General features: G+C 63.7%; 1 protein-coding gene across 2 annotated transcripts in view, besides 6 other annotated features; it reads right to left on the reverse strand.

The window, feature by feature from the left end:
* The window catches only part of NOTCH1 (notch receptor 1), a 51,616-nt gene that overhangs the window by 31,172 nt on the left and 6,451 nt on the right, over window positions 1–13,993 (reverse strand). The gene's annotated exons all lie outside the window — the stretch shown is intronic.
* Window positions 707–1,578: an enhancer, noted in NCBI's record as "H3K27ac-H3K4me1 hESC enhancer chr9:139420763-139421634 (GRCh37/hg19 assembly coordinates)". NCBI's record gives its function as "activates a minimal SCP1, AML or CMV promoter by ChIP-STARR-seq in naive H9 embryonic stem cells {active_cell/tissue: H9 hESC(naive)}" and the evidence as "EXISTENCE:reporter gene assay evidence [ECO:0000049][PMID:30033119]".
* Window positions 9,740–9,789: an enhancer, noted in NCBI's record as "active region_29311". NCBI's record gives its function as "activates an Ori minimal core promoter by ATAC-STARR-seq in GM12878 lymphoblastoid cells {active_cell/tissue: GM12878}" and the evidence as "EXISTENCE:reporter gene assay evidence [ECO:0000049][PMID:35858748]".
* Window positions 13,086–13,225: a silencer, noted in NCBI's record as "silent region_20525". NCBI's record gives its function as "represses an Ori minimal core promoter by ATAC-STARR-seq in GM12878 lymphoblastoid cells {active_cell/tissue: GM12878}" and the evidence as "EXISTENCE:reporter gene assay evidence [ECO:0000049][PMID:35858748]".
* Window positions 13,246–13,913: an enhancer, noted in NCBI's record as "H3K4me1 hESC enhancer chr9:139433302-139433969 (GRCh37/hg19 assembly coordinates)". NCBI's record gives its function as "activates a minimal SCP1, AML or CMV promoter by ChIP-STARR-seq in primed H9 embryonic stem cells {active_cell/tissue: H9 hESC(primed)}" and the evidence as "EXISTENCE:reporter gene assay evidence [ECO:0000049][PMID:30033119]".
* Window positions 13,696–13,785: an enhancer, noted in NCBI's record as "active region_29312". NCBI's record gives its function as "activates an Ori minimal core promoter by ATAC-STARR-seq in GM12878 lymphoblastoid cells {active_cell/tissue: GM12878}" and the evidence as "EXISTENCE:reporter gene assay evidence [ECO:0000049][PMID:35858748]".
* Window positions 13,796–13,855: an enhancer, noted in NCBI's record as "active region_29313". NCBI's record gives its function as "activates an Ori minimal core promoter by ATAC-STARR-seq in GM12878 lymphoblastoid cells {active_cell/tissue: GM12878}" and the evidence as "EXISTENCE:reporter gene assay evidence [ECO:0000049][PMID:35858748]".

The raw sequence follows: 13,993 nt of genomic DNA on the forward strand, positions 1-13,993 counted from the left end.
CGCCTGCCCCAGGACCGGCCCTGAAGCTGCCGGCTTCCCACAGGACCCCCACCGGCCCCCCAAGTCCTCGCCTCCTCTCCCGCTTATTCCCACCCCAGTGTCTCCAATCAAACCTGTGCTATGTGTGGCAGTGGCCTGGGGGGGCCTTACCCCGAGGGGCTTGTGGAGGCTGGGGGTGGGGGTTCCTGTGCGTTTCTCAGCAGCCAGCCACGCCCCTGTCCCAAAGGCCCGGGAGGCATCTGTCTTCCCCGAAGGCTTTTACCCGTGACCACGGCTTGGGTAGAGAGAACGCAAAAGGGCCACTCTGGCCGACCATCTGTTGCCAGAAGCCAAAAGTCCCAAACCAACTGGCTTAAAGAAAACACATGTCACCCCTTCCAAAGGGGCTCTGGGGAATTCACTCAGGCCTTGCTACGGCTCCTGCCAGCCCAGTGAGCGACGGGCACAGCCCCGGAATGAGGCTCCCCCTCCTCCATCCCATGTGGCCGGTCACTCCGGGGCTGCAGCGACAGACCTGCCTCTGCGGGCACCTGTTGGGAGGGCAGACGTGGTTCCCACTGCATGCAGATCCAGTTACAGGCTGGCCGGTCCCCGAGGTGGAGCGGCCGCTGGGAACCCGTGGAGTGCACAGGCTGGGCTGGGCTGGGCTGTGGCCACAGGAGGGGCGCCCTCCCTCCACATAAATGCCCCATTGTCAGGCGGGAGTTGGCCACAGCTCCCGCTTGGAGAAAAGGCCCTTTTTGCTTTCCCAGCCGCTGAAGTCGGCAGGGGGTGGGTACAGGACAGAGGGCGCTCGGTCATCAAAGCCGGGGCTGGAGGCTCCTCAGCCTGGCCCATGCAAGCTGGTCCCCTGCCTCCCGGCCCCTCGAGGCTCCAAGGAGCGGGAAAAGCTCACCTGCTGGGCAAGACGGGGAGGAGGGGCAGGGGAGGCCCATCCCACAGCTTTAGGGGACCCCAGAGGGGAGACGCTGGAGGTCCGAGCCCCTAGAGCAGTCTCCCACCAAGTGCCCTGAGGTCACAGGACATTGGCTGTCCCTGAATGGACCACGACACTCTGCCCGGACACCGGGCCCCACTCCCCACCCTGAGCGCGGACCCCAACGTGGAGGACTGTGGGAGAATCTGCCCAACCGGACGCATCCCAGTTAACGAGGCTGTATCACGCCGGGCCAGCAAGAGGAAAACACGCCCCATAAATCAGGCGTCGGTGCTCGGACAAAGGGCGGCTGGGAGCAGGTGTCAGACGTGGCGGCAGCTGCTCCCAGCGGGTGGGGCAGGAGCCCCAGCCGGAGGCCTGAGGAGGCTCCCGTGGGGGAATGCAGGCTGAGAGGGCCCATTGTCCGCCCCCACTCCCAGCCTGGGCATCGGACACCACAGGGAAGGCCCCTGCCACGGCCCCACAGCCACGGCTTGGAGGTTCCGTGAGACGCGCTAGCTGGGGGGAACCGGGCCGAGCCTGGAGAAAGTTTTGAGCCAGGTGTGGGGGTCTGTGTGTGGGGGGCAGCTTTGGGCCCAGTCTCCCGCTGCTGCTGTGGGCAGCCTCCAGCCTGTGCCCGCCCCAGTCTGTACCTCTCTCCCACATGGCCACAGAGCTGGAGCACCCTACAGACGGCGAACACCTGCCCTCCGCACAGCACCCAGACGTCCCTGAGAAGGTGGGAGGGACCTCAGGCCTGCAGCATGGCCATGGCCAGGACCACCAGCCTGTGAGCAAATCCTTCACAGCTTTGGCGCTGGCCACACCCCCGGTACCCGGGCCACTCTGTCTTCAATGCTGTCCCGGCGGCCAGGTGGGTGTGGGCCGCGAGGTGGGCGCCAGGGCTTGGCCGAGTGAGGTGGCACCCAACAGCTGCCGCGCCCACGGGGATCCTCAGGGCTTCCATGAGTGACCCGCACCCCACCTTCCACCGTCCCCGCATCTCCTCCTATCAGGGGCGGTGGGGAGACCCCTCTGGGGCTAAAAAGTGAGGCTTGAGATAGGGAACGCCAGTCTCCCCCGACTGGACGAGAGAGCTGCCCTGTCCACCAAGCCACCCAGCTCTCGGGCTCCCACGGAGGAGACCCAACCCACGCCAGGTGTGCCCCCGTGGACTCCCCTTCCGTGCGTCCCTCTTAGGGTCACCCGGCACCTGCCTGTCCCATCCCCCACGCTCAGTGGCCTGGCGGCGCTGGGGTAACCTGTCCTATCTGGGCCCCCCGCAGGTGAGCGGCGGGCGGGGACTCCAGGAGGGCTGCGGGGGGAGGGTGCCAAGTGGCCCCGGCGCCTGCTGTGCCGCTCCCGCCACCTCTACCGCCACCACTTTGTTCCCGCCTCAGTATTTCCACTGTGCCACTCCCACCCTCCCTGCCAGGGCCGCTCCATGGAAATGCGACTCCAGAAAGCAGCAGGAGGCAGATGCTGCCGAGACCTTTCACCCAGGACGAATTCTAAATTGTGCTGTTTTCCTTTCTAAGCTAAGCGGCCATCTGCCACCCCCAGGGGACAGAAGACAGTTCCCTCCGCCCCAAAATGAGAAGGAGGGGTGAGAGGGACTCAGTGCGGGTAGGACTCACTCACTTCCTGCCCTCAAGGAGTTTATGGTCATGCAGGGCCAGGGATGGGGGCACAGGCAGAGGCCGAGCAGAGGGGTGGGGGTGTGGGGTCAGCTGGACCCAACCCAGCTGGGGTGTCAGTGATGTGGCTGGCTCTGCACCCGCCACAGGAACCAGAGACCCTGGGTGGGAGAGGTGCTTCCCATGGCTCCACCAGGTGACAGCACCTCCCAAGGCAAGGATGGGCAGGGACAGTGGGGGGGGATGGGCAGGGACAGTGCGGGGGGGATGGGCAGGGACGGTGAGGGGGGGATGGGCAGGGACAGTGTTGGGGATGAGCAGGGACAGTGCGGGGAATGGGCAGGGACAGTGAGGGGGATGGGCAGGGACAGTGGAGGGACGGGCAGGGACAGTTGGTGGGACGGGCAGGGACAGTGCGGGGGCCTCTCCGGTGCACAGGAGCTGCACTTCCCAGAGGGGAAGGAACGGCCCTGCACACCCCGGCTCCCTGGGAAGGGAAGGGGAGGAGCTGCCCGGCTGAAATCAGCATCTTAACACATCCCACCTGCTCCCCAGCAGAGCCACAGGTCCAGCCCCACCTGCCCTCCTTGGGCCTCACTGCCAATCCCGGCCCACTGTCCTGCCACAGAAGCCCAAGGGTCCCCTGGCAGCAGTGTGGTCCCTCACAGGGCAATAAATGGGGGTCTTCTCCCCAGACACCCCCAACAGCTGCTGCTCCCAGGGAGCCCGTGGCCACGTCCTGCAGGAGCCAATCGCTAGGCGGCCAGCCTGAGGGTGCCCCTGCCCCTGGGACCCCTCCCTCACCAGCAGGACCTGCCCCCAGCCTCAAGGGGCTTTCTGCCCAGAGGGGAGTCTAGGGCTCCCACTCTGCCTGCTCCTGTGATGGCAGGGGCACCCCCACGCCCTCCCCAGACCCAGATCCTGCCGTGCTCTGCTAAGACCCAGCAAGGCTGACCACCTTCTACCTACGCCACTGACAGTGGGCCCCACCAGGTGACCTGGGCCACACAGACAGGCCCACCCATCGGCCTGCCCAAGCAAATGGGGCCATATGTGGACTGGCTGGGGGGACACTGTGACCCCCTACTGGAGACGGGGAGACAAGGCCAGACCTGGGTGGGGATGCTTCCCAAGGCAGGCTTCCATGAGGCCAACGAGCCCAGCTCTAGCCCGGACCAAGGCTTCTGGGGCAGGGGGAGTCCTGGGACCTCAGCCCCTCCCTTGGGTAGAGGCTAGACCAAGTTTCCCCAATCCCAGTGGGCACCACCCACCTTCCAGGAGGCACCGGCTGCTAAGAAATGAGCTGGGCAGGGGGCTCGGGGTCCCACCTCGGGTCCTCTCCCACTGGAACGGCCAAGCAGCCCAGCCCTGGGGGATGGAGGAGGCTTGGGAAGATGCTGGAACCTCGTTGCTCACAGCCCCTTCCCTGGCCTCCCCAAATCCCCCAGAACAAAGAGCTATAGCAAGGAAGGCCCCGGGCTCCTCAAACCTGCCAGGACCCTGTGTCCCAACCCCTGTTCAAACAGCTGGCTGGAGCCTCTGCGGTGGCTAGGAGGCCCTGAAAGGCGCCCTGCAGCCGCTGGGTCTTTCTTCCCTTTCTGCTCCCGGCTTCCTTCCCCATCTTGGACAGGAGAGAGGGATGCAGGCACCGAGGGGGCCAAGGGGCCCACGACAGCCCAGCACCACCAGGCCTGTTCACCGTTGGAGCACAAAACCACGAGATTGGGGGCTGCGATGTGGGATGGCTGCCTCCAGCCACCACCTGCGGTCCCACCTGAGCTGTGGTCTTCCCCAGCGCCTGCAGCCGTTGGGCTGGAGCTGCTGAAAGCTGCACGGGGGCCCTGCCCTGGCTCCCAGGGCCCCAGGAAGGAGGAAAGGGGCAGTGGGGGCTTCAGGGAGGTGGGGGCCCAGAAAAGGAGCCAGCCCCAAACAGCCGCCGCTCCGGAGACAGCGGGCAGCAGGGGGCGGAGTTGGGTGGGGCGGGGGTCGCGGCCGGCCCGCCACAGCGCAGGGACCCAGCCGGGGTCTGAGCCGGGGCCAGGCTTTCCGGCCCAAACAGCTGTTGCCGGCACCCCCAGCTCTTTTGTCTGCAAATCTTTTCCCCCAGTTGCATCCTCGGATGGTTTAAAATGTGCGAAGGAGGAAGTGCAGGAAGGCCAGGTTTCCTCCTCTGGCTCCGGGGAAACCCTTTGTGTGGGAGGCGGGATGGGGACAGAACCTGTCCTCCCGGGAAGCTACCTTTCCCGCAGCCGGGAAAACAATGCCCTCACCCGACATGGGAACGGCTGTCTGCATCTGACCGACAGAAGGCCCGTGGAGATGGCGGAGCTGGGGTGGCCACTCTGGGGGCATGTGGCCAGCCCCTCCCCAAAATGCCAAGACACAGCCCAGCAGGCTCTGAGACCCCAGGAACTAGGTGTCACCAAAGTGCCCCCGCAGGCTGTTTGGAGTGTGAAAAACGCCTGCTGGAGCCCCACCTGCTGCTCCACTGCGGGAATTTCCCACGCGGATCCCCCAAAAGCAGGCATGTGTCTCCTGCCCTGGGTCACCCCAACGGCCCCTAGGGACCCATGTGGACAAACCTCTTGAGTTGGAGAGGCCAAGATGGTCATGACACGCCGGGGCTCTGCTCCCAAGAAGACCCAGCCCAGCCCTGCACCCCACGATGGCTCAGAGGCAGGGAAGGCAATGGACAGGCCCACAGCAGCGCTGCTGGAGGGCTCAAACCACACTCCATGAATGAAGTCGGGCATCACAGGCTGCGCTCCGGGCCAGCGCCAGACATGCTTCTGGCAACCTCCCACCACTGCTCCTGAACAGATCCTGTCGCTGGGGGTGGCAGGAAGGGGCTCCCCGGAGGGGCTCCTGTTCTCCTCTGGAGTGAGCCCCACAGCCAGCAGGGCAGTCGCCCGGAGGTGCTGACTCCATGTCCAGCGTCCTTGTTAAGAATGCTGCAGGGAGGGAAGGGATCCCGAGACATCTGTCCGGCACACACCAGCCCAGCAGTGAAGAAACTGAGCCCACAACCCTCCTGGCCTGACCTACACTCGGGCTTTCCAAGCTCTGTCTCATGGGACCCCCACAACCGCCCTGGGGGCGTGTAATGGGCCCATTTCACAGGTGAGAAAACGGGGCAGCTATGCCCAGCACACCACCCGGATCTGAAGGCAGCTCAGAACCACACCTGCTGATGGGGACCAGAGCGGGGCAGGGCAAGGCAGCTCCCCAGGGTGGCACAGGAGTGGCAGAAGCTCCCTGGGAAAGAGGAGGAAGGCGCGTGTCCCCCGCACCCCCAGCCCCACCCAGACGGTCTGGATGTTTTGCCTGACCACCTGATCTCCCAGGACCGGGAAGTCTGGAGCAGACAAAGCATTCTTACAGCTCCACCGAAACACAAAACCCTAGGGTGGTGGGGGCAGAGCCCTGGGCGAGAGAGACCCAGCCTCCCGCTCCCCTTCCTTCCTCCCGCCCAGCAGGAGGGCACCGATGCCCCTTCACCCACAGCACCCGCGGGGCGTCGGCACTGGTGAAAGAGGGACGAAGCCGAAGCCCACGCTGCCGGAGGAGCACTCCTGGCATCCCGGGGGCAGACGCCGCCCTCCTGCGCCTCCTCCCGCCTGTCCCGGGAAACCACCAGGACACCTCTGTGTGCCTCCCGATTCGGCCGCAGATGGACGGCGGCTTCAGTGGTGGCCCCAGAGGTCACCTCATCCCCATCACACCCGCCGGCTCCCTGCTCTCTGACCACACGAGGCACAGAGGGGCCTCCGAGCCCAGGAATCCTCCTCTCGGAACACCGCTCGCCTGCCGGCCCAGTCCCAGCGCCCAGCCCGGCTCACATACTGGCCCACTGTGCCCCTGGCACCCCCTCAGAGCCTCACTCTGCCCGGGCCCAGCGTGATCACCGGGCGCCTGGGATTACCCCACACTTGGGAAGTGGGATCCAGGCAGGTGCCTGCAGCCCTGGGAGGGGCCCATAAGGAGGGGCACCTGGGGGAGGGGCCTGCAGTGCCACAACCTGGGGGACACCAGGGTGTCCCAAGACAGCTGGCACAGGCTGGGGACTGTCTGGGGTACCTTTCCCTGTGGGGAAAGTTGGGGATTCTTGGGCTGGACTTGGCAGGTCCTAAAACTTCTGCCCCTCCAAGGCACTGAATAATGCCCAGCCTCGCCCAGTGCCTCGCGGCCTCGCCCAAAGATCTCGCACTACCTCACCCAATCCCGCAGGACCTCGCCCAAATCCCACACATGACCTCGATCAAATAGCACACAACTGCATGCAAATCCCACACAGTCTCCCCAGAGCCTGTGGCTGGCCTCTGGGAGAGACCTTCCTGGAGGGGCCCCCACAGCACCAGGAAGGGGCTCCAGGGTGGATGACACAGATGACACATCCCCGGGGGAGCCGGGCGTGCCGCCCGAGACCCAGCTACACCTCCCACAGCCGCCATGACTCCGTAGCCAACTCAAAAGAAGGCGCAACAATTCGCGGCAGTCGCCCAGCCACGAGGACGGCAGCTGGGGCTGTCAGGAGCCCTGGGGGACACTTCATGGCCCCAGCCGCTTCCCATCTCCTAAGGAGGAGGGGAGCTCAGAGAGGTGGTGGCGGCCCGGGGTCGCACGGCCCACGTGGGGGAAAGAAGTCCGTGGCCTGTGTTGTTGACCCAGTGCCACCCCACACCTGGAAGGGGGAAGGTCTCGTGGGGGTGGCCGGCCTGGACTGCAGCCCCTGCAGGCTGGAGCCAAGCCTTCCAGTCACCTGCAGCCACCCACCTGCCTCCACCTCCATTCCCACTGCCCACCTGGCCCCAGGGCTGCCGACAGCCCAGCCAGGCCCGTCCACCAGAGAGCTGCAGAGCTCTGTGCTGGGCCAGACCCTGGAGGCCCAGGACAGGACCTCGCCACGGCCTGAGCCCCGCCACCATGTGGACCCTGGACACTCAGCCCCGCCCGGCCTCCCCACCTGGCTCTCCGTCAGACAGGAATGAGGCCAGCCTCCTTCTGACCACTGAAGGGGAAGTAGGAGGGGCCACCCAGGGGCTGCACCCCGGGAGCTGGGACCAACCCAGGTCCCTCTATAAGGATGGAGAGTGGAGGCCCAAGGGGGGGACTCTGGCCCAGCCCCCTCCGCGCACCAGCCAGTGCCCAGCCTGAGCTCAAGCATCTCTTACTGAAAAGCCGTCAGGGAAACCACACATGTTCAACCCCTGGCGGCTCCCCCAAACCTCTCATTTCCAGTAACTGTGTGTTTCCGCTCGTCAACAGCTGAAACCGAGCGGAACTTGGGGGGCCCCACCACGCGGCCCTGCTGTGCGGCACGGGGCTCATCTGTCCCCCGGCTGCGGGGAGTCAGCTCTCACCGCCCACCTCCTTCCCAGATAGTCTCTGTGCCCACTCGACGGCCCGGCAAGCCCAGCCCCTGCCTGCCACGGCCACAGCAGCCTCAGAGAGCTGCCCTCTCTGGCCAGGGTCAGGGCCTGAGCTGCTGCCTCCCGCAGGGTCGAGGGCAGGACACTTGTCTGAGGCTTGGGTGGGGCAATGGCACCTCCTCAGGGCCTCAGCCCCCGGGCAGGCTCGGTGACCATGGGCCTACAGCAGGGAAAATTCTGGGCCAAAAGCTCCAGCCTCCTACTAGGGCATCTGTCTGCAAATGCACCTTAACCTGACCGCTTGGGCTGTGGGGGAGCCTGTTTCAGGGAAAGTGAGGGACGCGCCAGTTTCCTCCTTTGGACTTGATGAGGCACGAACGCATCTCTAATAAAGCCAGGTCTCCCCGCCGTGGCTCCCTGGGCGGGTGCCTGTGGCTCGGGCCATGAGTCACGCTGGGTAACCCCACTACGGGGAAGAGGGCAGGAAGCTGGGAGCCACCGCCTCTGTGCCCGGTTGTCATCTCGGCACGAGGGCGACCGTCGGCTTCGTCCTGCCCTCATGGCTGAGGGCTTTTGGGATGTGGCGGGAGACGGGGGAGTCCACTTCTCAAACCCGGTGCATCCTGCAGGGCCGCTGCACTCACAAAAAGGCTGACTCCACACAGGACCTGCCTCCCTGGGCCTTGGCTCAGGCTGGGGCGAGACTGGCCTCCTGTGCTACCTGTGGAAGAGTTTGTTCAGCAAATTGACAGTGTCAACAGAATGTCAAGGGGGCATTTACCCAGCTTTAAACAACCAATTCAAGCCCTTCAGAGATGCACAATGGACTCCGAGGCCAGGGGACTGCGTAGACAGGGTCGACATCTGATGACAAATTCTCATCTGCCAATTAGAGCAAGGTCGGGGCGTGTCACCAACCTCAGTGCCAGGCGGAGCAGAAGGAACAACACGACTATTTCTTGGGGAAAAATCTCAACTAGCAACCAAGGAGCTGGCAGGCCTCCCACTGGGCGAGAACAGCGCCCACCTGGTGCCCACCAGACTGAACAGCCCCGTGCAAGTGAGGCCGGGTGAGTGTTCTGTGGCCATTGGTCCCTACTGTGGCGGCAGGCGCTGTGGGGGTTGGGTCCGGGCAGCATCTGGGCCTGGCCTGATCCGGAGACGCCCTTGGTAGTGGCCACTCACAGACTGTGATTGCGAGGACCCCGATGGGGCCGCTGTGTGTGCCTGGGAACTGCAGGTGTGGATGTCAGAGGCAAAGCCTCCCCTGTGCACGCCCAGCACATCAGAGCCCCCCAGTTCCCTCTCACAGAGCCCCCAGTCCCTCCCCACAGAGCCCCCAGTCCCTCCCCACAGAGCCCCCCAGTCCCTCCTCACAGAGCCCCCGAGTCCCTCCCCACAGAGCCCCCAGTCCCTCCCCACAGAGCCCCCCAGTCCCTCCCCACAGAGCCCCCAAGTCCGTCCCCACAGAGCCCCCAGTCCCTCCCCACAGAGCCCCCGAGTCCGTCCCCACAGGCCCCACTGGACACCAGGCCCCAGACCTCCTTCCAGGAAATTGCAGGAACCACAGCAGGGCAGCCCCACAGACCTGAGGGAACCGCTGCCCCACCCCCGCCCCACAGAGCCCTGGTGTCTGGGCTGCAGCTGAGGCTGAGGGGCTGAGGACTCGGAGGATGGGATCTCCCGCCCAGCGGGTGCAGCCAGGTGGGAGGGGCCAGGCCCCCAGGGTTCACAAGGCCCCTTGGGGACCCACCCGAAGCCACCGCTTTGCATTAGGCAGGGCGTGCGGAGAGGGCCCTGTTTAACCGTGCGGGCTCAATCTGGAGTGTAGACGGCAGGACGCCCCCAGCCCTGGGCCCCTGAGCCTGTGAGTGGGGGGTTCAGAGGTGAGGCCTCTACAGAAGTCTCCCTCCCAGGGGCAATGGGTGCAGGGTAGGCGGGGAGCACTCAGGATCCCTCCCAGGGGCAATGGGTGCAGGGTGGGAGTGGGTGGAGGGGGGAGCACTCAGGATCCCTCCCGGGGCAATGGGTGCATGGTGGGTGGAGGGGGGAGCACTCAGGATCCCTCCCAGGGGCAATGGGTGCAGGGTGGGTGGAGAGGGGAGCACTCAGGATCCCTCCTGGGGCAATGGGTGCAGGGTGGGTCGGGGGGAGCACTCAGGATCCCTCCCAGGGGCAATGGGTGCAGGGTGGGAGTGGGTGGAGGGGGGAGCACTCAGGATCCCTCCCGGGGCAATGAGTGCAGGGTGGGTGGAGAGGGGAGCACTCAGGATCCCTCCCAGGGGCAATGGGTGCAGGGTGGGTGGAGGGGGGATCACTCAGGATCCCTCCCAGGGGCAATGGGTGCAGGGTGGGAGTGGGTGGAGGGGGGAGCACTCAGGATCCCTCCCGGGGCAATGAGTGCAGGGTGGGTGGAGAGGGGAGCACTCAGGATCCCTCCTGGGGCAATGGGTGCATGGTGGGTGGGGGGGAGCACTCAGGATCCCTCCCAGGAGCAACGGGTACAGGGTAGGGGGGCGCACTGAGGACACTGCTGGGGAGTTTCTCCTCCCAGAATTCCACAGGTCTCGGAGATACACTGAAAGCAACCCCAAAATGCTAGGACCGCCTATAACCGCCCTGCACCACCCCTGGGGCAACCAGGCACCCCGATGCTAACACGCACGCATCCTCCCGACAGGGAGAAGTCCCCCAGCTGCCTGCAGACAGGGCCTCGCTGTCAAGGGCCACTGGCTGGCCTGGTGCCCTGCAGGGGACATGGCGCTTCCCCGTCCCAAGGGCAACTTGGAGAGGACACCATCTGTGTCTCAGAGTGAGGGGCCAGGTTCCTAGCTCTCTCCTGTCACACGGGCCTGGATCTAGGCCAGGGCATAGCCAGTCACTCTAAGCTGACCCTGAGGGTCCAGGGGGAGAAGCAGCCTGGAGCCAATCACACAGAGCTCTGTCCAGGGAAGGGAAGGCCCCGGAGCAGGCAGACTGGGCGGGTGGGGGCTGAGATGCCTGCCCGCCCCATGGATGTGTCCAAAGCCTCACTGCCCCCCGCTGCCCCAGCCACCGCCGCTCCTTTGGTCTGGAGCTCCCTGCCGCTGACCCTGTCCCAGCCAGCGTGGAAGCTGCTCCGTGGTGGGCCTCACTTGAAAGCCACAGCAGGTGCACCCAGATGGGGTCCCACAGCACTGACTTTGCACACAGGAGGCCATGAAGGCTGCAGTGACTACCCCTAGCTTGTGGCCAAGCCCGTCCATCCTGTGGCCTGGTTCTTAAGGGGCATGCTCCTCCCCTGCCCAGGGGGGCCTGCATCTGCCGTGCCCACCCATACCCCAGGGTTCAGCATGTAGTAGATGCTCAATAAAGACCCTCTACTTTGCATTCTTACAGCACCAGGCGTGTGGACGCTCAGTGACCGCGGCCCCACTGTGTGCCTCCTGGGGGCTAAGGGATGCTGAACAGCTTGGCGGCTGGCATGAGTGAGGCCCAGGGACAGGTTGTGAGCCTGTCTCGGAGTCCTGAGCAGGACAGGGGCCGCGGGCACGCCAGTCCATCCTACAGGTTCACCTGGGAATATGCCAGGACTCCCTCTAGGGGGCTCTGTGGCTGTCGGGTGGCTGCACCGGCCCAGAGTGAGCGCCATCTCTTCCAGGAAGCCACCCCGGACGCCCTCCCAACACCTGCCTCCTCTGGACTGTCTGGGAGCTGGGATGCTGGGGTCCACCTCTGGCCAGTCCCTGATGCTTCTGGAGGCTAAAATGTAGTCCTCAGAAGAATGCAGTTCTAGTCCACGCGTGACATGGATGAACCTTAAACACATCACGCTCAGTGAAAGAAGCCAGGGGCAAAAGACCACCTATGGCACAATTCCATTCATAGGCAACGTCCAGAAGAGGCGAATTCAGAGGCAGAAAGCGGGTTAGTGGTTGCCAGGGGCTGGGGCAGTCAGGGCAGAGTGACAGTATTTGGGTACAGTTTCTGTTTTGTGCAGTGAGAAAGTCCCGGAACTAGATAGTGGTTGAATGAACTTGTGAATGGACTAGATGTCAAGCAACAGCATGCTTTAGTTCAAAAGTCACATTTTCAGCCTGGACAACATAGCAAGACCCCGCTTCTGCAAAAAAATTTAAAATTAGCTAGGCATGGTGGTGCACACCTGTGGTCCCAGCTACTCTGGAGGCGGAGGCAGGAGGATCGCTTGAGCCCAGGAGTTTGAGGCTGCAGTCAGCCGTGATCCCACCACTTCACTCCAGCCTGTGTGACAGGGTGAGACCCCATCTCAAAAAACAAAAAAGTGGCCATGCACAGTGGCTCACGCCTGTAATCCCAGCACTTTGAGAGGCCAAGGCAGGTGGATCACCTGAGGTTAGGAGTTTGAGACCAGCCTGACCAATATGGTGAAACCCTGCCCCTACTAAGAATACAAAAATTAGCTGGGAGTGGTGGTATGTGCCTGTAGTCCCAGCTACTCAGGAGCATCGCGTGAATCTGGGAGGCAGAGGTTACAGTGAGCCAAGACTGCGTCACTCTAATCCAGTCTGGGTGACAAAGCAAGACTCCATCTCAAAAAACAAACAAAAAAAGGCAAATTTTGTAATATGAATAAGTCATCACCCAGAATCCCTCCATATACATATCCATCCCCAAACCAGTCCTTAGCTCCCTTTGCTCCCAGGGAGCAGGGTGGGGTGGGGCAGGGCCACAAGGAGAACCCAACCAGGCAACTTTGGAAAAGGGCTTCCCTCCACCCTCCCACCCCTGCAGCCACTGCCCCTTCCCCAGCTGGGGCGACCACCGAGCCCAGCGCAGGCCTCGCCGCAGGGCCCACAGCCACCACCACGCCTTCAGCCCGCCCCAGGGTCCCGCTGGCTGTAGTTGGAAGGGGAATCACATACAGATGGGGAAACTGAGGCCCAGGGAGGGGACAGTGTGGGGAGCACAGCAAATCAGAGCCAGCCCTGCTTCACAGCCCCTCGGAGCTCCGGGCCCCACAGGAGAAAGCGCCAGCGCTGCCTGGGAAACTCGAGGCCGTCAAACGCAGCCCGGCCCACAGGTGTGATGCCCCAAAGCCAGCCGCTCGTTAAAGCTGCTGGTATTTCCTCCTCAGCCCGGGGAAAGATCCGGAAAGTTCTGGATATGCCTGCACATGAAGGTGAAAGCTGACGCCAGCCTGCCTCAGATCCCCACGCCCTCGCAGCCACAGCTTTCCCACCTGTGCGCTGGGGATGAAAACTGCACTGGCACACCTGGAGGGTGGGCGGCCGTCTGCCAGGGCTTTTACGAGGCTGGGTAACAGCGGCGTCCTGAGTGTGGAGCTGTCATCGCTGCATTATTGAGGAAGGCAAGCTAGACGCCCAATCGATTCTGCAAAGCCACATCCTTTCACTATTTATAGACGAGACATGAAACAGGAAAGGTCCCCTCCCCACAGCAAAAGGGTGCAGTCCCTCGGCCCGGCCTGGAACTGCCCAGTGGGCACCGGTGGCCGCTGCTGCCCATCACAGGTGCAGGGAATGAGGAATGAAGCCAGTCCCGGCTCCTGTGGGGTCTCCAGTTTGCCGCCCGCATCTGGGGGTCCCCGCACCCAGCTCTGCCCTGTGGAAGCACTTCCCCTGGTGCACTGTCTGCCCTGCCCTACCCTCTTCCTGCCAGGGTTGCTGTTTTCTTTCTCCCTCTCTCTTTTTCTATTATTATTCTTTTCAATGGAAAACATGTTGGCTGCTGTTCAGAGGCAGGGCCTGCCCCAAGGAGCCAGCTTCCTTCAGAGCACTCCAGGCTCCCACCCCAGTCTCCGCCCCAGGCCTTCCTGTTCCTGATGTCTCCCCAGTCTGAGTAGGTGAGACTTTCTATTTGACACTGTGTGGGGTTTTTTTTGTTGTTTTTTGTTTTTTTGAGACAGAGTCTCACTTTGTCACCCAGGCTGGAGTGCAGTGGCACGATCTCAGCTCACTGCAGCCTCCGTCTCCTGGGTTCAAAGGATCCTCCTGCCTCAGCTTCCCAAGTAGCTGGGATTACAGGCACACGCCACTGCGCCTGGGTAATTTTTGTATTTTTAGTAGAGACGGGGGTTTCGCCATGTTGGC

Source organism: Homo sapiens, chromosome 9, assembly GCF_000001405.40.
Source record: "Homo sapiens chromosome 9, GRCh38.p14 Primary Assembly".
In the NCBI taxonomy this organism is placed as follows: Eukaryota; Metazoa; Chordata; class Mammalia; order Primates; family Hominidae; genus Homo; species Homo sapiens.